Raw genomic sequence first — 19,029 nt, forward strand, 5'->3', positions numbered from 1 at the left:
TAACCAGGGGACTGGAATACAGTGGTATGATCCTGGTTCACTGCAACCTCCGCCTCCTGGGTTCAAGCAATTCTCCTGCCTCAGCCTCTCAAGTAGCTGGGATTACAGGCGTGTGTCAACATGCCTGGCTAATTTTTGTATTTTTAGTAGAGACAGGGTTTCTCCATGCTAGCCAGGCTGGTCTCAAACTCCTGACCTCAAGTGATCCGCCCGACTTCGCCTCCCATAGTGCTGGGATTACAGACATGAGCCACCGCACTCGGTCCTGTGAATTCCATTTTTAAGAGAATACCATGGGGCAGTCTTGGTCACTTGTCAAACTGGGTCCCTTAGAGGTACACGAAGACACTCTAAGTGGTGTATAAGTGGGAGGATAACTTGCAAGGACTACGCTTCCAGACCCCCAGGGTGTAGGTATCTCCTAAAGCTGATCTGAGTTGTAAGTTACCATTTTCCACCTCTGCTTTCACAATCTCTTTTCTCCACGTTACAAAAGAAAGCTGTATCTTCCACCCAGCCCCAATCCTGCTGTTGGCTTCATCTTGGGCAAAGAGGCAATTTGAAATATTGGTGTTTGTTAGGAAAAAGTGATCCACTCTGATTGGATGACAAATTCTTTAGTAACTTTGGTGGTTTTCAGATCGTTCCTTTTAGTAAAATTGAAGGAGGACCCAATGAATTTGACAACTGATAGATCATTCAAGTTACTTTTAATGATGGCTCACTGTGTGATTTTTAGATGAAACACTGAGGTAGTTTAGAGAATATACGGATAGTGCTGTAATAAAGCTGTTTCAGTACTTACAAGCTTTTTCAGTACTTACATTTAAAAAAGTTAAAAAGGAAAGGATTAAGTTGATAAAAAACCTGTCTCATTCTAGTAGTGGGTAATGTTCACATCAACCAGTTGGGGGGAAAATAGCTCTGTTCATCTCATTAAAGGATGCATTTTCAATAAGATTTTACTTTCTGTGTTTAATTACCTATCAAAATTTGTAAAACTTGTTGGTTTGATCAATTGTATGCAGTCGGCCCTCTGTATCTGTGACTTCTGCATTCGTGGATTCAACAAACTGTGGATCGAAAATACAGAAAAAAAAAGTATCTGTACTGAATATGTACAGACTTTTTCTTGTCATTATTCCTTAATACAGTATAAAAACTATTTACATAGCATTCACATTGTATTAGGTATTATTAGTAACCTAGAGATGATTTAAAGTATACAGGAGGATGTGCATAGGTTATATGCAAATACTATATACCATTTTATATCAGGGACTTGAGCATCTTCAGAATTTGATATTCTTGAGACGTCCTGGAACCAATCTCTCAGGGATTCGACTGTACTAATACAAATTGTATTGATAACTTTTTTTGTTTTTGGAAACAGTGTCTCACTCTGTTGCCCAGGCTGGAGTGCAGTGGTGTGATCTCGGCCTACTGCAACCTCCCCCTCCTGGGTTCAAGTGATTCTCCTGCCTCAGCTTCCTGAGTAGCTGGGATGGCAGGTGCACACAATCACGCCCGGCTAATTTTTGTATTTTTAGTAGAGATGAGGTTTCACCATGTTGGCCAGGCTGGTCTTGAACTCCTAACCTCAGGTTATCCGCCGGCCTCAGCCTCTCAGAGTGCTGGTATTACAGGCATGAGCCACCACGCCTGGCCTGAATTGATAACTTAATTCAGAAGGAAAAAAATTAATATTTAGACCTATGGTCATAGGAAAAATGTTTTAAAAACCTGAAATTTCAATTTATATTTATAGTCTTGTAGCAGAAGGCTTTGAACATAACTATGTATTCAGTTAAAATTCCTTGGGTAGGGCCAGGCGCAGTGGCTGACGCCTGTAATCACAGCACTTTGGGAAGCTGAGGCAGGCGGATCACGAGGTCAGGTGATCAAGACCATCCTGGATAACACAGTGAAACCCCCTCTCTACTAAATACACAAAAAATTAGCCAGGTGTGGTGGTGGGCGCCTGTAGTCCCAGCTACTCGGGAGGCTGAGGCAGGAGAATGGCATGAACCCGGGAGGCGGAGCTTGCAGTGAGCTGAGATCGCACCACTGCACTCCAGCCTGGGAGACAGATTCCATCTCAAAAAAAACAAAAACAAAAACAAAACAAAACCAAAAATTCCTTGGGTGACGTGGAATAGAAATGAGTTCATGGAGGAAAAGGAACAACATAAAATATCCAGCCATGAAGTTTATTTTTGTATTTAAAAAAATGGATAATGGTAGATATCATTTCAGTGGTATTTAGATTCCATTGAATTTATTTTAAAAAGGGATTGTGAGTTTTATTAAAAATGCCAGTACGTACAGTGTGGCAGAGATTACATTTTTACAGCTGGTAAACGCCCACAATTGTAAATGTGACACAACTTAAACATCCTTTTTGGGTGTGTGGGAGCAAGAAAAATTGAGGAATGTTGATATCAGGGTAGGGGGTTGAAAGTGGATGGAGGGAAATGGAACATTTTGAGATACATTCTTGAGGCGGGACAGATCCTTTACTTGTTGAATTTGTTGTGGAGTGTGAGGGAAAGAGAAATCATGGAGAGAGAGCATCTAGATTTTGGCTTAAATGTCTGGAGAGATGGTGATGACTGTGCTGGGAAAGGATTTAGTGGGAGGGAATCAGGAACTGTGTTCGGCTGCCTCCTGGGAATCTCAGACTTGATATGACACGTCTACAGGGAGATGGCAGGTAGAGTTGATACCACTCTGGAGCTCGGAGGCCAGGGCTGCAGACCCAGGTGTGGGTGTGTGCAGCCCATAGAGAGCTGTGTTGCACGTGCCTTTGTATTTGTTTTCTTTTGTAGATGCAGTTCTCTTCATTCTTATTATTCAGCACTAGTTTCTTTTTGCCAGTTTTTTCAAAAATCAAACTTTAAGATATTCGTAGATTTTGTCCTTATTGGTCTTTTCACATAGCATCAGATTATCAGAATGAAAGATGTGGGAATGAGGGAGAACAGTGTCCTTTTTGACGATGACTTATATAAAAAAAAAATTTTACATCATGCCTGTGTACTTGCAAGCATATACATGGATGTATGAATATATACATGTGTATAATCTATGTGCTTTTTTATTTATAAAAATGAATTAAAGTTTCAGAAAATAGTACTCACTCTTGTTGCCTGCAATGTATTCTATTTTCTATTGCATTTTCTTTTATCACCTACTGGCTTTATTTATTTTTTGGTAATAGCTTGATTGAGATGTTGTTCACGTAGCATATAATTCACCCATTTAAAGTGCACAGTTGGTTTTCAGCATATTCAGAGTTGTATAACTGTTACTACAATAAATTTTAGAAGAACATTTTGTCTTCCCGAAAGAAGTGCCTTACCCTTTAGCCATCAACCTCCAATCTCCTATCCCTGCCTGGATTCATTTTAAAACTCAGTACATCATAGTTCACAGTCTGATCAACCTTAATTTATATGTTTTATCTTCCTGATATTAAATATTCCAGTATTTTGCTATTTTATCTCTACTTTTTAAAAACTTGACTTGCAAACCTCTTTGTTTCTTTTGGCTTTTTTTGGGTTGAGGTCTGTTCCTCATGTGTAAAGAAATGATCATGATGTGGGTGGGATGCTGCTTTTAAAAACCTTTGTGTCCATTTTTTGAAAATGCAGATTCTGAAGCTGTCTCCAAGAATTAGCTCTGTAAGTGTAATGTTCTGTGATTGGTAAATTAGTCACCTACGTACTTACTATTCATTTACCTTCTACCTTCTTAATTTTGTAACTTCCCCAAAACCCACCTTATTTCTTGCTACTTTGAAAAGAAAACTTTTGCTTTAGAGTAGATTTAAATTTATAGAAAAATTACAAAGATAGTACAGAGACGTCCTGTATACCCCTCACCCAGTGAACCCTAATGTTAATGTCTTATATTACTGTGGTACATTTGTCACTGAGAAACCAACATTAGTATCTTACTGTGAGCTAAACTCCACACTTTATTCACATTTCACTAGTTTTTCCCTAATGTTCTTTTTGGAGGCAAGTCATTAAGTGAAGTTGAGCTTCACCGACACAAATTATATGAAATTCTGTATGGGAGATTTGTCGGTTCTCATTTATTTATATCTTGTGAGCTCATGGATATTTATACTTTGGGTTATAATCCAATATTAGGTTTGCCCTGCTGTTTTAATGTCATTTATCCTTAATCTTATTTATGAAGTTATTAACATTTGTTTACACATTTTTCAAATTTTATTATGATTTTAATTTTAATAACTACCCCACGATACCAGCTTAATGAAGGTCAGGTGGACTTAAAGTTAATAGAAGAGCACCATTTATCAGTTCCACAAAATGAATGCATTGTCTCTTAAGAACCCATACAGAGGAGTCACTACTAACTTTGGACTTGAGAAATAATTTGCCTGTAAGACAGTCTTAGCATGTTCCCCAAATGTAAAGGAAGCGCTGATGTCTATCACTGGACAGAAAGAATCTAAAGAGTGAGGAGGTCTCTGTTTTACTGGCAAGACTGCCCAAGGTGGGGCTGGAACGGGACCAGTGTGAATTCTGGGCAGCAGGCTTCCTAGAGCAGCTTGCCTGTTACCTCAAAGTCTGGGAAAGCTTTCAGGGTAATTGGCCTCATTGAAGATTTTGTTTATGTTATTCTGCCTTCATCTTCTGTGGATGCTATGTAATTGTATTTGGTCGAAAGCCAAAAAAGCAATATTTGAGAAATGTTCTTCCCTCTTTCCTCTTCATCCCCATTTTTCCCTGGGTATTCTCAAATATCAACAGTAATATGTTCCTTTGCTGAGAAAGATCGTTTTTGGGAATTCAGTGATGAGAGCAAAGGGGAACTGACTTCAGCTCTTACTAGAACTGAATGCCCTGGGAAGCATGTCTGGCTCTCTGTATATATCTCTCTCTGGTAAGCCTTTTTTTGAGTTATATTTGAATAGCAGAAGTTTAAGCATTGACAATGTATGAGTAGTATATTCAGGTTTTAAAATGCGTACAAAAATCATAAATACTGTCTAGGTACAATGTCTATGAAAGTTTTTTTTTTGGTGGTTTTTTGTTTTTAAAATGTACTTTTATCTGATTAGTAGTAACAGCAGCAAAATGTGTTCTCCTGAAATAGTTTTAACACCAGTGAAAGGTGGATCTTGGGAGCCAGAACATGAAGAGAATCTCATTGTCCTGTCAGCAACATACTGGAAGATACAATTGCAGACAAGAACAACTTAATCTTTGGGGACACTCGCTTTTGGCAGTGAAACATTTCAGAGCCCCCACAGGGAGTGGAACTACTTCTCACTTTTCTTTGTTATTCAGAAATGGAAGTTCTGGGCTGGGCACAGTGGCTCATGCCTGTAATCCCAGGACTGTGGGAGGCCAAGGCGGGCGGATCACCTGACGTCAGGAGACCAGCCTGGCCAAAATAGTGAAACACCGTCTCTACTAAAAATACAAAAATAGGCTGGGCGCGGTGGCTCACGCGTGTAATCCCAGCACTTTGGGAGGCTGAGGCGGGCAGATCAGGAGGTCAGGAGATCGAGACCATCCTGGCTAACAGGGTGAAACCCCGTCTCTACTAAAAATATAAAAAATTAGCTGGGCGTGGTGGCGGACGCCTGTAGTCCCAGCTGCTTGGGAGGCTGAGGCAGGAGAATGGCATGAACCCGGGAGTCGGAGCTTGCAGCGAGCCGAGATCGCGCCACTGCACTCCAGCCTGGGCGACAGAGCGAGACTCCGTCTCAAAAGAAAACAAAACAAAACAAAAACCAAAAATAAGCCGGGCGTGGCAGCATGAGCCTGTAGTCCCAGCTACTCCAGAGGCTGAGGCAGGAGAAGTGCTTGAACTCAGGAGGTGGAGGTTGCAGTGAGCTGAGATCGCGCAACTGCACTCCAGCCTGGGTGACGGCAAGACTCCATCTCAAAAAAAAAAAAAAAAAAAAAAGGAAATGGAAGTTCCTTCCCTGTTTATAGGATCTCACATTTTTTAACCTGAAGTATCTCACCAGGGTTCCACTGGGGACCTTCCTATCTTCCCACCCTGTCATCTACCTAGGTGACCCAGCCTGTTCTGTTGGCTTTAAAAAAATTAAAAGAAAAATTTTTTTATGGCTACACAGCAGTGTATATATTTGTTGCTCTGTTGGCTTTTTATATACTCTCTATATAGAAGGAAGTTGAACATGGATCATACCTTCTCCCCAGAGTTCTCCTTTAGCTTGCAGGTGCCACAAAATTACTGTGTCCTGAACTGAGCTTCTGGGCCTCTCGCTGTCCCCAGTTCCTGTGCCTGCCGTCACGAGGTGTGGTTGAGTCTTCATGTGGTCTTCTGTCTCCATTCTGTAGCCACCCCATCCTGTTCTCCTCACGTCCATTTGTCCTACATCCTTTCCTGTCATCCCTTTGAAGAACAGCCTTTTATGGACTGCAGTACCTTGGGGACGAAGTGCAGGGTCCTGAGCATGGCATCAGTGATGTAGAAGCCCTTTGGGGATTGAGGCCTCTTCAACCTCTTCCTCCAGTCTCACTTTCTGATCATTCACCTGGGCTCTCTTTTTTTGCCAAAACACTTTTCTCTTCCCCAGCCATCTCCCTCCATCCTGCTTTCCATAGCACCCTGGCACTTATCTTAGCAGAAGGCCGTTACTCCTCTGTTTGGAAATTACCTTTCTCAGGGTACCCAAGTTTCTGAGTCTCATGCACCTGTCTCCCTAGCACCTAACCTCATACCTGACACCTGGGTGAAGAGCTGAAGGAATGGGTGAAGGGCTGACAACTGGGTGAAGAGCTGCAGAAGGAATGCAAGCTCATGCTTTTACATTTAAAGCTTTTACATTGATTACTTGTTATGTTTTGCACGTCCTCCACGTTCAAGCCTGCAAACCATATTTGCCATTGAAATAACAGGACTAGTATTTGTGTTAGAGGCTGTATTCTTTTATTTTTAGTTTTATTTTTTGAGACAGGGTCTCAGTCTGTCACCTAGGCTTTAGTGCAGTGGCATCATCTTAGCTCACTGCAACCTCCGCCTCCTGGGCTTAAGGGATCCTCCAACCTCAGCCTCTTGAGTAGCTGGGACCACAGTCACCTGCCACCACGGCTGGCTGATTTTTGTATTTTTTTTGTAGAGTTGGGGTTTCACGTTGTTGCGCAGTCTTGTCTCGAACTCCTGGGCTCAAGTGATCCACCCGCCTTAGCCTCACAAAGTGCTGGGATTACAGGCGTGAGCCACTGCGCCTGGCCCAGAGACTGTATTATTATTATTATTTTTGAGACGGAGTCTCACTCTGTCAGCAGGCTGGAGTGCAGTGACGCGATCTCGGCTCACTGCAGCCTCCATCTCCCAGGTTCAAGGGTTTCTCCTGCCTCAGCCTCCTGAGTAGCTGGGACTACAGGCAGGCACCAGCACGCCCAGCTAATTTTTGTATTTTTAGTAGAGATAGGGTTTCACCATGTTGGATAAATGGTCTTGATCTCTTGACCTCGTCATCTGCCTGCCTCGGCCTCCCAAAGTGCTGGGATTACAGGTGTACACCACCGTGCCTGGCAGAGGCTGTATTTTTATACTGAGTTTCTGTAGTTGGTTGTTTTTTTCTTAAAGAGGATGGGTTATTCACTCTATCCATGTATAGCCTCATGGTACCTTCTACAGGGTCCTGTGGGCTCTGGGAGCTTTGCAGAATGAATGCATTCAACCATGGTCTGTGCAGCCATAACAATGTAAAGTAATTTTTTTGACTGTTGTAGAGCTCATAATTTAGGTGTTCTCCTTAATACAATACAGATTTTTAAACAGGGTTCTTGGTATATATTAAAATTGTATTCAAGCCACAGAAACCTTTTTTTTAGGTGAAAAAATTGTGAAATTTTTAGCAAAGCTTTTGACACCTATTTATATAGTTATTTAGCCTTCAGTTGAAATAAATCAGAAAAATAGTACAGTAAGATCAGAATACTAATTTTGGTTTTCATTGAAATTTTTAGTTCCTAAAAACTTTTATTTTATTTATTTTTTGAGATAGGGTTTTGCTCTGTTGCCCAGGCTGGAGTTCAATTGTGCTGTCATAGTGAACTGCAGCCTGGACTTCATGGGCTTAAGCAGTCCTTCCGCCTCAGCCTCTCCAGTAGCTGGGGCTACAGGTACACGTCACCATGCCCGGCTAATATTTTTTTTATTTTGTTTTTGTAGAGATGAGGTCTTCCTATGTTGCCCACACTGTTCTCTAACTCAAGCAGTCCTCTTGTCTCAGCCTTCTAAAATGTTGGCATTACAGGCGTGAGCCATCGTGTCCAGTCCCTAAAAACACTTTTGGTTCCTCCTAGATAACATGTTTTTACAAGCACCAGGGTGATTAGGTTCGTATTCATTTTTATCTTTATATTGAAAGGTTATTTGAACCTTTAATAATTCCATATTAAAGAATTACTTAATTCTTTAAGAATTTTGAAAAAAAAATAATTTTGAAGGGTTAGTCTAGAATAAAAATAGGCAAAACACTTCGTTAATGTCAACTTTCCTGAAACAAAAAAAGTAGAATTAAGGTCTGGGGAAGCTGGATATTATACGTAAATGTAGTGATGCAGTTCCAGAAATTCGTTGTTCCTTACTTTTTAGACTAGAGATTGCCTTTGGGAGAAGTGGTTTAACTCAGCATTAAATTCTGAATCAGCTTTGCTTCATTCCATATGCCACTCAGTGGCTTGACTATTTATTGCTACATGTCATAATATTTAACAGTAAAATAACTTAATGGAATCATTCAGTAAGATGTGCGTTCTGAAGAAAGAGCTAGACAAATCCAACAACCCAAGAAGAGACTTAGGAGGCTGGGTGTGGTGGCTCATGCCTCTAGCACTTTGAGAGGCTGAGGTGGGAGGATCGGCTTGAGCTCAGGAGTTCGATAGCAGCGTGGGTCACAAAGTGAGACCCTGTCTCTACAAAAACAAAACAAAAAAAAAGTGGGGCGTGGTGATGTGCACCTATAGGCCCAGCTACTCGGCAGGCTGAGGCTCACTTGAGCCCAGGAGGTTGAGGTTGCCGTGAGCTGTGATTTTGCCACTGTACTCCAGCCTGGGTGACAGAGAGGCCCTATCTCTAAAAATAAAAAAAGGCTATGAGAAGCTTGTTTTAGGCAAGAATGAAGGTATTGCTGTGTAAGAAAGAGAAGAGACTTGGGTGTTTTGCCGTTGAGAACCAAACTTACATTTCTTTAGGAAGGCTTCTAGCTAGAGAGTCAGGTATAAGCTGACATTTCGGCTTCTCTTATGCAGTGGACATTGTGCTTCAGATTGCTTTCACTTGTCACGGTGGGTCAGTGAGAAATGAAAGTACTTTTTGGATGGATCCCAACATCGGCAGCAGTATTAATTCTGTGAGGGTGTTCTGGATATGTTATGATATTAAGCTTCTTATTGCTTAAGAAGGTAGCAGAGCTTGGAGTTTCCAGGCTCAAAGGAGAAATTTCCCAAGGCAGTCTTCTCTGTCTAGGAACACCAATATTAAGATAATGGGGTCTCCTGGGAGCTTGTTACTTGTTTTAAGTGAATTGTCACCAGAGTATTAGTTTGTTGTTAGAGTCTTCCACATATGAAATATGACCCTGAAGTAAATAGTAATTTTCCCCCCAATCAATTAAACAAAAGAATGTTATCATGTTACAAATAATTGCTGTGGTAGTCTAGGCAGTATTTTACAGATGTGTGGTGCCCAATTAATGTTTTTGGAACCATTGTTTTAGCATTGTCTTTGCAACCAATTTATAAATGATATGAGAAAAAGTCTTGTTTGCTTATTGTAGTCTTTCTCAATGTTTTCTCCCAAAGTTTTCTCCCAAAGTAGTAGGGATGTAGTTTTTATTTTTATTATTTTTATTTTATTTTTATTTTTTTTTTGAGACAGAGTCTCGCTCTGCCACCCAGGCTGGAGTGCAGTGGCACGATCTTGGCTCACTGCAAGCTCTGCCTCCCGGGTTCATGCCATTCTCCTGCCTCAGCCTCCCGAGTAGCTGGGAATACAGGCGCCCGCCACCACGCCCAGCTAATTTTTTGTATTTTCAGTAGAGACGGGGTTTCACCATGTTACTCAGGATGGTCTCAATCTCCTGACCTTGTGATCCGCCCGCCTCGGCCTCCCAAAGTGCTGAGATTACAGGCGTGAGCCACCGTGCCCGGCCATAGGGATGTAGTTTTTAAAGTCTCCTGTAAGCATGAAAATTCTTTGGAAATTAAAAAAAAAAAAATTCAGGCCAGGTGCAGTGGCTCACGCCTGTAATCCCAGCACTTTGGGAGGCCGAGGCGGGCGGATCACGAGGTCAGGAGATCGAGACCATCCTGGCTAACATGGTGAAACCCCGTCTCTACTAAAAATACAAAAAATTAGCTGGGCGTGGTGGCGGGCGCCTGTAGTCCCAGCTACTTGGGAGGCTGAGGCAGGAGAATGGCATGAACCCGGGAAGTGGAGCTTGCAGTGAGCCGAGATCACACCACTGTACTCTGACCTGGGCGAAAGAGCGAGACTCTGTCTCATTAAAAAAAAAAAAAAAAAAAAAAAATCAGCATTTGTTGAGAATTTAAATACTACTCACTGTTGATTCGTTTTTATTATGTTCCAAAAATCTTCTAGTACAATTTATGTTTCAGGAAGGTGGCCATATTTAATTCATTGCGTTGCCTTCTCTAACATACATGTACACATCCCAGTTTGAGAAACATTGTCCAGTCCCTATTGTTCTTACCCAGTTTGTTCAGGTATTTTATTTGGAAAACATGGCTCCGAATGATACATGCATGTTGGATTAAAACTGAACTTCTTCTGTAGGAAAGATGATTTGCCCCCCTGTGAAGTGCCCAGATACCCACTGTTGCATTTGAAGGTGGATCCCAGAGAATAGCCTCAGTAAAAGCATAGTCATAGTGTGTGGCCTGCCAAGTGAACCATGTAAAATGTATATAGTAAATAATTCATATTGATATTGTGCCTTGTACAACATTGACTTTGAGGGTTGTAACTACCTTGTGGATGTTGCTGCCACTAAATTATTTACAGTAAAGGTTCTGTTTGAATTACAATCCAAACAGTGTTCGATTGGTAGTTATGACAGGTGTATGTAGTATGCATTTTTGGTGGAGTAATTCTTCTAGGATTGTAATTAATCCTGTTTCTTCAAATCAGGTCATGTTAATCCACTTAATCCATAAAAATTGGATTTAAGTAATTGCCCTTGTGTAAACCTTATGGTTTACAAAGTGCTTTCACATGTATCTTCCTTACATAACCAGGTGGATATGTGGTAGTATTCCCATTTTATAGATGAGGAGACAGGTTCATCAAGGTAAAACAATTTGTTGAAGGTTATAGAGCTATGAAGTGACAGAACATGTGCGTGATCCTAGGTGTCCTCTCTCTGTAAGTGCATACTTGTCTGCTTTGGAGTGGAAAGCCACTTTCCCAATTAGATGTACAGCTGTCTGTCGAAGGAGACTAAGTCCGAGATTAACGGATGGAAGCAACTGAATACTTTCTTAGGCCCTAGTATTATATGGTTCCTAGCAAATCCCTGAAAAAAAAAGAGCATGACTCGTGTAAGATAGACCCAGGGTTGGTCCTTCAGTAATATTTTACTGTATGCTAGATAACTTCTTTAGTTTTATGCTAATTCTAAGTGTGGATTATCCACAGATATTCAGCTACATAGCTTTTGAAATGTGGAAAATTTAAATCTGAAATATTGGGATTAGTTTGTGGAACACATGCCATTGTAATGTGTGCTGAGAGGTTGCCTTTAGAGGAGCTGTCCTGTCAGCTTGCTTTGCTTTGGGATTATTTTCAGCAGCAAGTAACAAAACCCTGACTCAACCAGCTCAAACAATAAAGAATGCATGATGTCACTTAACAAGAAGCCTGGAGGCAGGGTGGTTCTGGGTTGGTTTACTCAGCAGGTTAGTGTCAGCACCTGGGAGCCTGGTTCTTCGGACCTGTCTGTTCTGTTGGACTCTGTGTGCCGTGCAGCTCCCCTCACGTTTGCAGGAGGTCTGTGTGCTTCACAGCCTCCCAGCCTCCCACCTGAACATCCAAAGGCAGGTTAAAAGAACCCCTGGCTACTTTCTCAGAAGTACTCCCCAGCAGACTTCCCCTTCACATCTTACAGGTGGGTCTGCACTCACCTTGAACCACTCACCCACCCACGCCTGTGGAGTGGTGGAACCACGTGATCAGCTCTGTCCTGCAGGGTTTAGTCATAGGGAGCACAACCCGGCTTTGCCTAAGTGGGAGGAAGGGAATGGGCAGTGGGAAGGCCGACAGCAGTGTGTGCTATGCTGAGTGCTATGCTGGGCCACCTGAGCTCAGCGAGAAATGAGCGGTCTAGGGCAGTGTTTCTCGAAGCCTGGTCCAGGGACCTAAATCAGCATCGCTTGGGAACTCGCTAGACTGGCCGGTTCTCAGACCCCACCCCAGACCTGGTGTGAATCAGAAGCTCTAGGGGAGGAGCCCAGAGATCTGTTTTAACAAGCCCTCCAGGTGGCTCTGATGCACGCTCAAGTTTGAAAACCATTGGCCCAGGGTGAGGCAGCTCAGGGACCATGTTACAAAATATACTTTTTGTGGAGGATTAAATAATGAGAGGTAGAAATAGTCTTGTAGGTAAAACAGTGGGTGGAAATTGGGAGATGGTTGCTTTTCAGCCTGACTTACCACCACTGGCCCAGGATTTTATCAAACCTAGAATCCGTACGTATTCTCTTCATAGGGTATGGAGTGTTAGCTGGTGGATCGAGTGTGTCCGAAGAAGTTCTGCTGCAATGATGCACATGGGGGTGGGGTTCCAGGCTGAGCTTTGGTGTCCACCTATCAGGGTCTCATATGTCCTGGCATGCCTGGTAAATAGGTGGGTTAGGCCATTGCAGGTCAGCTTCCAGGGGAGGACTGAGGAACCTTCTGAGGGAGAATTCATTCATTATAAGGGAAGTAAGTTTGGCAGAAAACCTTGGCCCAGTAACAGAAAGTCTCAGTTGTTGGATGGGAGTGGCCACTCACAGCACAGGGTGGTATGTGTATTCAGATCTGTCTCCTGGCCCAGGCCCCTGTGGAGCTGCACAGGCGTGTGTGTGTGTGTGTGTGTGTGTGTGAGAGAGAGAGAGAGAGAGACACCCTCGTGGGCCTGTGGCTGAGCTGTATGTGTGTGTGTGGGAGTGTGCGAGAGAGAGGAGCCAGGGACAAGGAGAGAGACCCTTGTGGGCCTGTGGCTGAGGTGTATGTGTGTGAGAGAGAGTGAGAGAGACAAAGAGACAGACAGACTCTGGTGGGCCTGTGGCTGAGATGTGTGTTTGTGAGTGCGAGAGAGCAGACAGGGACAAAGAGAGAGACCTTTGTGGGCCTGTGGCTGGTTGTGTGTGTTTGTGTATGTATGAGAGACAAGAGAGACTCTTGTGAGCCTATGACTGAGGGGTGTGTGTGTGTATGTGTGCATGTTGAGAGAGACCCTGGTGAGCCTGTGGCTGAGTTTTGTGTGCGTGTGTGTGTGTGAGAGAGAGACCGAGACCGTTGTGGGTTTGTGGCTGAGTTTTGTGTGAGAGAGAGAGACCCTGTGGGCCTGTGGCTGAGTTGTGTGTAAGAGAGAATGAGGGTGCGTGAGTGCACCAGTGTGAGTGGGGTTGTTGGGGCATGAGGAAGGATATTACTTAAGGCAAAACTGAAAGAAGTGTTCTAAAAATTCTGTGAGAAACTGGGGTGGGCGGAAGCAGCACGGGGCACTGCCCACCCCAAGGGGACTTCCACACCCCGTCCTGCAGCTGGAGGGCCAGGGCTGCCTGTGGGAGGAGTGGGGACCGGGCCCTGGTGAGGGCAGGGCCCAGAGGAGGCAGCCGGGAACTTGGAGAGAAGGAACAAAATTGGGACAAGGGCCTGGGCCTGGGATAGCCCAGCCTGTTGTGTGCCACTTACAGGGGAGAAGGGCCTCCCCAGCCACACAGCAACCCGGGGATTCCCTGCGGCTCTGTTGTGGTGGAGTGGGAGCATTTGCCAGCTGAGGGGGCTGGATGGAGTAGGGCAACAGGAAGCAACTCAAGTTCAAGTGTGGTGTATTAATTTCCCAGGGCTGTCTAACGAAGTGCCACAAACTGCGCGGCTTTAGAACAACAGAATTGTATTCTCTCCTCACAGTCCGGTGGCTGGAAGTCCTCTGTCAAGCCGGCAGGGCCACGCTGCCTCTGAAACCCTCGGGGAGTCCGCCCTCGCCTTTTCCTAGCTTCTGCGGGCTCGCCGGCAGCCTGTGGGGTTTCTTGGCTTGCAGCTGCGGCACTCCAGTCTCTTGTCGCACAGCGCTCTCCCTGGGTGTCTCCGTGCTTTCACGTGGCTGTCGTATAAGGACACCAGTTATATTGAAGCAGGGGCCCACCCTACTCCAGTCCAGCCTCATCTGGACTAATTGCATCTGCACCAACCCTGTTTCCAAGTCAGGTCACATTCTGAGGTACTGGGGTTAGGACTTTGACATATCATGTTGGGGTTGGTGGAGACACAGTTTAACCCATAACACATAGTCCCCAGCGAGACTCGTCTGTGAGCCCTTGTGAATGTCCCTCACTTGTTTTCCTTGCCCTCCCCCAACACCAGGGCTCCTGAGAAACGCCTTTTTGGTATTGGGCTGGTGATGTGTGAAGCGATCCACTGTGAAGCTTCCTTCCTGAGAGCTGCACAGACCAGTCTACGGCAGCTTTGGACTCCTGGGCTCCAGCCGCAGCTGCAAAACCCACGCAGTTTCTTCCCAGCTCATTGAACCTGGCCTTTTGGTTGAATGGATTTTATTTCTGAATTATTTCTTTGTGTATCTGTAGGAGCACGTCCAAGGAAAATTCTTTATTTTCACAAGATTGTGAGCACTGGGGAGAAGTATTTTTTTCTTGAGACAGAGTCTCACTCTCTCACTCAGGCTGGAGTGCGGTGGTACGATCTCAGTTCACTGCAACCTCTGCCTTCCAGGTTCAAGCGATTCTCCTGCCTCGGCCCCCTGAGTAGCTGGGGTTACAGGCATGTACCACCATGCCCGGCTAATTTTTGTATTTTTAGTAGAGACGGGGTTTCACCATGTTGGTCAGGCTGGTCTCAAACTCCTGACCTCATGGTCCACCCACCTTGGCCTCCCAAAGTGCTGAAATTACAGGTGTGAGCCACTGCGCCTGGCCCAATTTTTTTTTTTTCTTGCGGAAAATAAGTGGGCAGATTTAATAATGAGCAAATAGGCAAAACCATGAAATCAAACCTCGTTCCTTGTGTCAGAATTCAGAAAAAAGCGACTAATGTAACTGGTGCCAGGCTGTGTGTGCTGTGGTGTGTCTCTGTATGTGAGTATCTTAAACTTGTTTCATTATCAGTTTAATTTAGCAAATGAATACGAGTTGATTCCCAGGCTGAAGCAGGTCTTGGTGGGCCATTCTGTTGGTTTGCCAGGAGAATCCTTTTGTTATTTCCTGGAAATGCTTGAATCATAGATGAGTCTCTTCCTGCGTCCGTGTATTTCAGCTGCAGTTTTCCAAGTGTGTAATAGTGCTGTCCATAAGGAATAGCTGCTGTTACTGTGAATTGAAATACTTAACAGGTCTACTTTCAGGTGGATAAATGTCACATCCAAATTGCGTGTTAGTTTGACTTTCAGGTAACTTAATTAGCAGATTCATGTTTTGGGAAAATCTGATCTGTGATCCTGAAATTGGTTACAGTTGGTGTAATTCGTGGGTAATTAGGCGCCTTTACAGTGACTACTCTAGTCATTAGAGGGCTGGGGTAATTTGAGGTTGAAATGTGAGAGTGAGATGGAGAAGGCACTTGCTCTCTAGTCCTTAATCTTTTAATCCATTTAACCTGGGTTGTAAATTCAGGCCTTATTTTAATTTGAAAGTATGTTTAGGGAGCTGGGAAGGGGTTTCATTAATTCACCACTTTCAGGTAATATAGTTAGGAGAGGGAGGTTATTCCTAGTTGTTTATTTGGGTAAACATAAAGTTATTGTGAGTACTGGAAGGGCTCATGAAAGTTATGTTGCTCCTTGTTGGAAACAAAAGCTTCTAGATTTAAAAAATGAGCGGCCGGGCGTGGGGGCTCATGCCTGTAATCCCAGCACTTTGGGAGGCCGAGGCGGGTGGATCATGAGATCATTAGATCGAGACCATCTTGGCTAACATGGTGAAACCCCATCTCTACTAAAAATAAAAATATTAGCCAGGTCTGGTGACATGGGCCTGTAGTCCCAGCTACTTGGGAGGCTGAGGCAGGAGAATGGCGTGAACCCGGGAGGTGGAGGTTGCAGTGAGCCGAGATCACGCCACTGCACTCCAGCCTGGGCGATAGAGTGAGACTCTGTCTCAAAAAAAAAAAAAAAAAAAAAGAAAGCCTAAAACCCAAAGAAAAGCACCACAAAAACAAGACCCCGTTCAGAGATGTGTCATATAGGTATTGTCCGTGTCGAAGTCAGAAATACATTTGTGGCATGTGGAATAGGCTTTATGGACACACAGATATCAAGTAACCTGATCTCTTGCTGAGTTTAAGGCCTGTCACGTAAATGCACACTGCTTACGTTTTCTTTTTATTTCCACTTTTGAATTGGGGATAAAAGGGGAAACTGGTGAAGGAAAGACATGTTCCTAGAGAGCTGAACACCTGTAATATTGACTAATAGAAGGGAAGAGAGTAGGTAGGAAGTAAGTGCAATAGGAAACTGGTAAACAGAGAAGAGAAAAACCGTGTTTTGAGATGGATTGGAGGCATTTTTTGTCCACACACTTGCTTTGGGGATTTTTATTAGGTAGACGGTAATTAGAGGTGTCAGTCATATGAAAGTAAATCACTAGTCTTTCGTATTACTGTTTTCTCAGTGGTCCTTATCAGTTTTTTTTGTTGCTCTGTAATCATTCATATGGTAAGACTTAACTTTTAGTCATGTAAATTTGTTTAGGGACAATTTAAACTATTTTGTCAAATTAGTCGTTTTATTCCAAGTTGTACGTCTTATGCATTTATTTAGTATAGTGAAAGCCTTATATACACATTTAATATAATTAGTCTCTGGATATTTGGATTATTTTTTAGTAGTACTTTTTTAGAGTGTGGGTTTTTTCTTTTCTTTTCTGTTTTTGAGACAGTGTCTGGTTCTGTCACCCAGGCTGGAGTTCGGTAGCCCAGTCTTGGCTCACTACAACCTCAGACTCCCGGGCTCAAGCCATCCTTCCACCTCACCCTCCTGAGTAGCTGGGACTACAGGCACTTGCCACCGTGTCTGGCTAATTTTAAAATATTTTTTGTAGAGACAAGGTTTCATGTTTCCCAGGCTGGTCTTGAACTCCTAAGCTCAAGTGATCCACCCACTCCCCAAAGTGTTGGGATTGTAGGCAGGAGCCACCACACCTGGCAGTTTTTTCCTTCTTGTTTTGAGATGGGGCCTTGCTCCATCACCCGAGCTGGAGTGTAGGTAGCATGATCATAGCTCGCTGCAACCTTGAAATCCTGGGCTCAAGCGATCCCCCTGCCTCAGCCTTCCAAGTAGTGGGGACTATTGGTCCATGCCACCATGCTTAGCTAATTATAAAAAAAAAAAAAGAAGGTTTTTAAAAGATGGAGGTCTCACTATGTTGCCCAGGCTGGCCTCAAACTCCTGCGCTCAACAGTTCTCCCATTTTGGCCTCCCACAGTCCTGGGATTACCGGCATGAGCCACTGCACATAGCCCAATTTTTTCTTTTTAGTTCACTTTAAATTAAAAATAGAGTTTGAAGAAAATTAGAATTTTAGCTAAACCTTATCCAAATTATTACATTTTCCAAATTGATGAGGCTTCAGGGAGATTTTCAAATATTCTGAATCCTTATTAATATGCACAAAACTTTGTTTAAATCATAGGCGGAATCTCAAGGTTGTGTGTAAAATAAGTCTACCACTTTGGACTTGGGAAAACAAATATTCTGATGTAATAAGTGATTAGAAGAAAATATAATAGTAATATGAAACTGGCATGGCATGCCTGCTAGACAGCCCCTGAAGCATATTGGTTAAACTAGTAGGTTATAAACACAGTCTGTGCTCTGAAGGAATGTATATAGTTTTAAGAGAAGGAACATGTGACTTGGGCTACACTTAAAGTGTAAGGTGTGTTTATGAGCAGAGTTTTAAATTTAGGTGTTTTTTTTAACTTATATATCTTTTCTGGCTTTGTATAATTTGGCTCAGGGCTGGGGGCAGGGTGGAAAGAATAGACTGGAAAGTGGGGACCAAGATGGAGGAGTTGAGTGGATAAGAGCAGCAGGCTGAGCTCAGGAGGAGAACTTGATAAGGAGTAGGGGAAAGGAAGGTCAGGAATGAGCCAAGGCTGGGAGATCAGATGGTGAGATACAGGTGGATGTGGTAATGATGACCTGAGGCAGGAGATTTTTGTCTAACCTCAAGGTAGGGTAGTAGCTCAGTGGCTAAAAGATATGCTTGGGACTGGGTGCGGTGGCTCACGCCTGTAATCCCAGCACTTTGGGAGGCCGAGGCAGGTGGGTCACAAGGTCAGGAGATCGAGACCATCCTGGCTAACATGGTGAAACCCCATCTCTACTAAAAATACAAAAAATTAGCCGGGCGTGGTGGCAGGCGCCTGTAGTCCCAGCTACTCAGGAGGCTGAGGGAGGAGAATGGAATGAACCCAGGAGGCGGAGCTTGCAGTGAGCGGAGATAGTGCCACTGCATTCCAGCCTGGGTGACAGAGTGAGACTCTGTCTCAAAAAAAAAAAAAAAAAAAAAAGATATGTTTGGGGCTGGGCGCAGTGGCTCACACCTGTAATCCCAGCACTTTGGGAGGCCAAGGCGGGTGGATCACAAGGTCAGGAGTTCGAGACCAGCCTGGCCAGTGTGGTAAAACCCTGTCTCTACTAAAAATACAAAAAATTAGCCGGGCATGGCGGTGCGCACTGGTAATCCCAGCTACTTGGGAGGCTGAGGCAGGAGAATCACTTGAACCCAGGAGGTGGAGGTTGCAGTGAGCCGAGATCGCACC

The 19,029-nt window shown here is 43.8% G+C and overlaps 1 protein-coding gene across 41 annotated transcripts in view, besides 8 other annotated features; it reads left to right on the forward strand.

Annotated features, from left to right (window-relative positions):
- The window catches only part of TMEM131L (transmembrane 131 like), a 170,352-nt gene that overhangs the window by 8,231 nt on the left and 143,092 nt on the right, over positions 1–19,029 (forward strand). The window lies entirely within an intron of this gene.
- Positions 1,372–1,511: an enhancer, noted in NCBI's record as "active region_22060". NCBI's record gives its function as "activates an Ori minimal core promoter by ATAC-STARR-seq in GM12878 lymphoblastoid cells {active_cell/tissue: GM12878}" and the evidence as "EXISTENCE:reporter gene assay evidence [ECO:0000049][PMID:35858748]".
- Positions 12,953–13,002: an enhancer, noted in NCBI's record as "active region_22061". NCBI's record gives its function as "activates an Ori minimal core promoter by ATAC-STARR-seq in GM12878 lymphoblastoid cells {active_cell/tissue: GM12878}" and the evidence as "EXISTENCE:reporter gene assay evidence [ECO:0000049][PMID:35858748]".
- Positions 13,013–13,062: an enhancer, noted in NCBI's record as "active region_22062". NCBI's record gives its function as "activates an Ori minimal core promoter by ATAC-STARR-seq in GM12878 lymphoblastoid cells {active_cell/tissue: GM12878}" and the evidence as "EXISTENCE:reporter gene assay evidence [ECO:0000049][PMID:35858748]".
- Positions 13,213–13,332: an enhancer, noted in NCBI's record as "active region_22063". NCBI's record gives its function as "activates an Ori minimal core promoter by ATAC-STARR-seq in GM12878 lymphoblastoid cells {active_cell/tissue: GM12878}" and the evidence as "EXISTENCE:reporter gene assay evidence [ECO:0000049][PMID:35858748]".
- Positions 13,433–13,502: an enhancer, noted in NCBI's record as "active region_22064". NCBI's record gives its function as "activates an Ori minimal core promoter by ATAC-STARR-seq in GM12878 lymphoblastoid cells {active_cell/tissue: GM12878}" and the evidence as "EXISTENCE:reporter gene assay evidence [ECO:0000049][PMID:35858748]".
- Positions 13,683–13,852: an enhancer, noted in NCBI's record as "active region_22065". NCBI's record gives its function as "activates an Ori minimal core promoter by ATAC-STARR-seq in GM12878 lymphoblastoid cells {active_cell/tissue: GM12878}" and the evidence as "EXISTENCE:reporter gene assay evidence [ECO:0000049][PMID:35858748]".
- Positions 14,003–14,212: an enhancer, noted in NCBI's record as "active region_22066". NCBI's record gives its function as "activates an Ori minimal core promoter by ATAC-STARR-seq in GM12878 lymphoblastoid cells {active_cell/tissue: GM12878}" and the evidence as "EXISTENCE:reporter gene assay evidence [ECO:0000049][PMID:35858748]".
- Positions 14,843–14,902: an enhancer, noted in NCBI's record as "active region_22067". NCBI's record gives its function as "activates an Ori minimal core promoter by ATAC-STARR-seq in GM12878 lymphoblastoid cells {active_cell/tissue: GM12878}" and the evidence as "EXISTENCE:reporter gene assay evidence [ECO:0000049][PMID:35858748]".

Source organism: Homo sapiens, chromosome 4, assembly GCF_000001405.40.
Source record: "Homo sapiens chromosome 4, GRCh38.p14 Primary Assembly".
Lineage (NCBI taxonomy): Eukaryota > Metazoa > Chordata > Mammalia > Primates > Hominidae > Homo > Homo sapiens.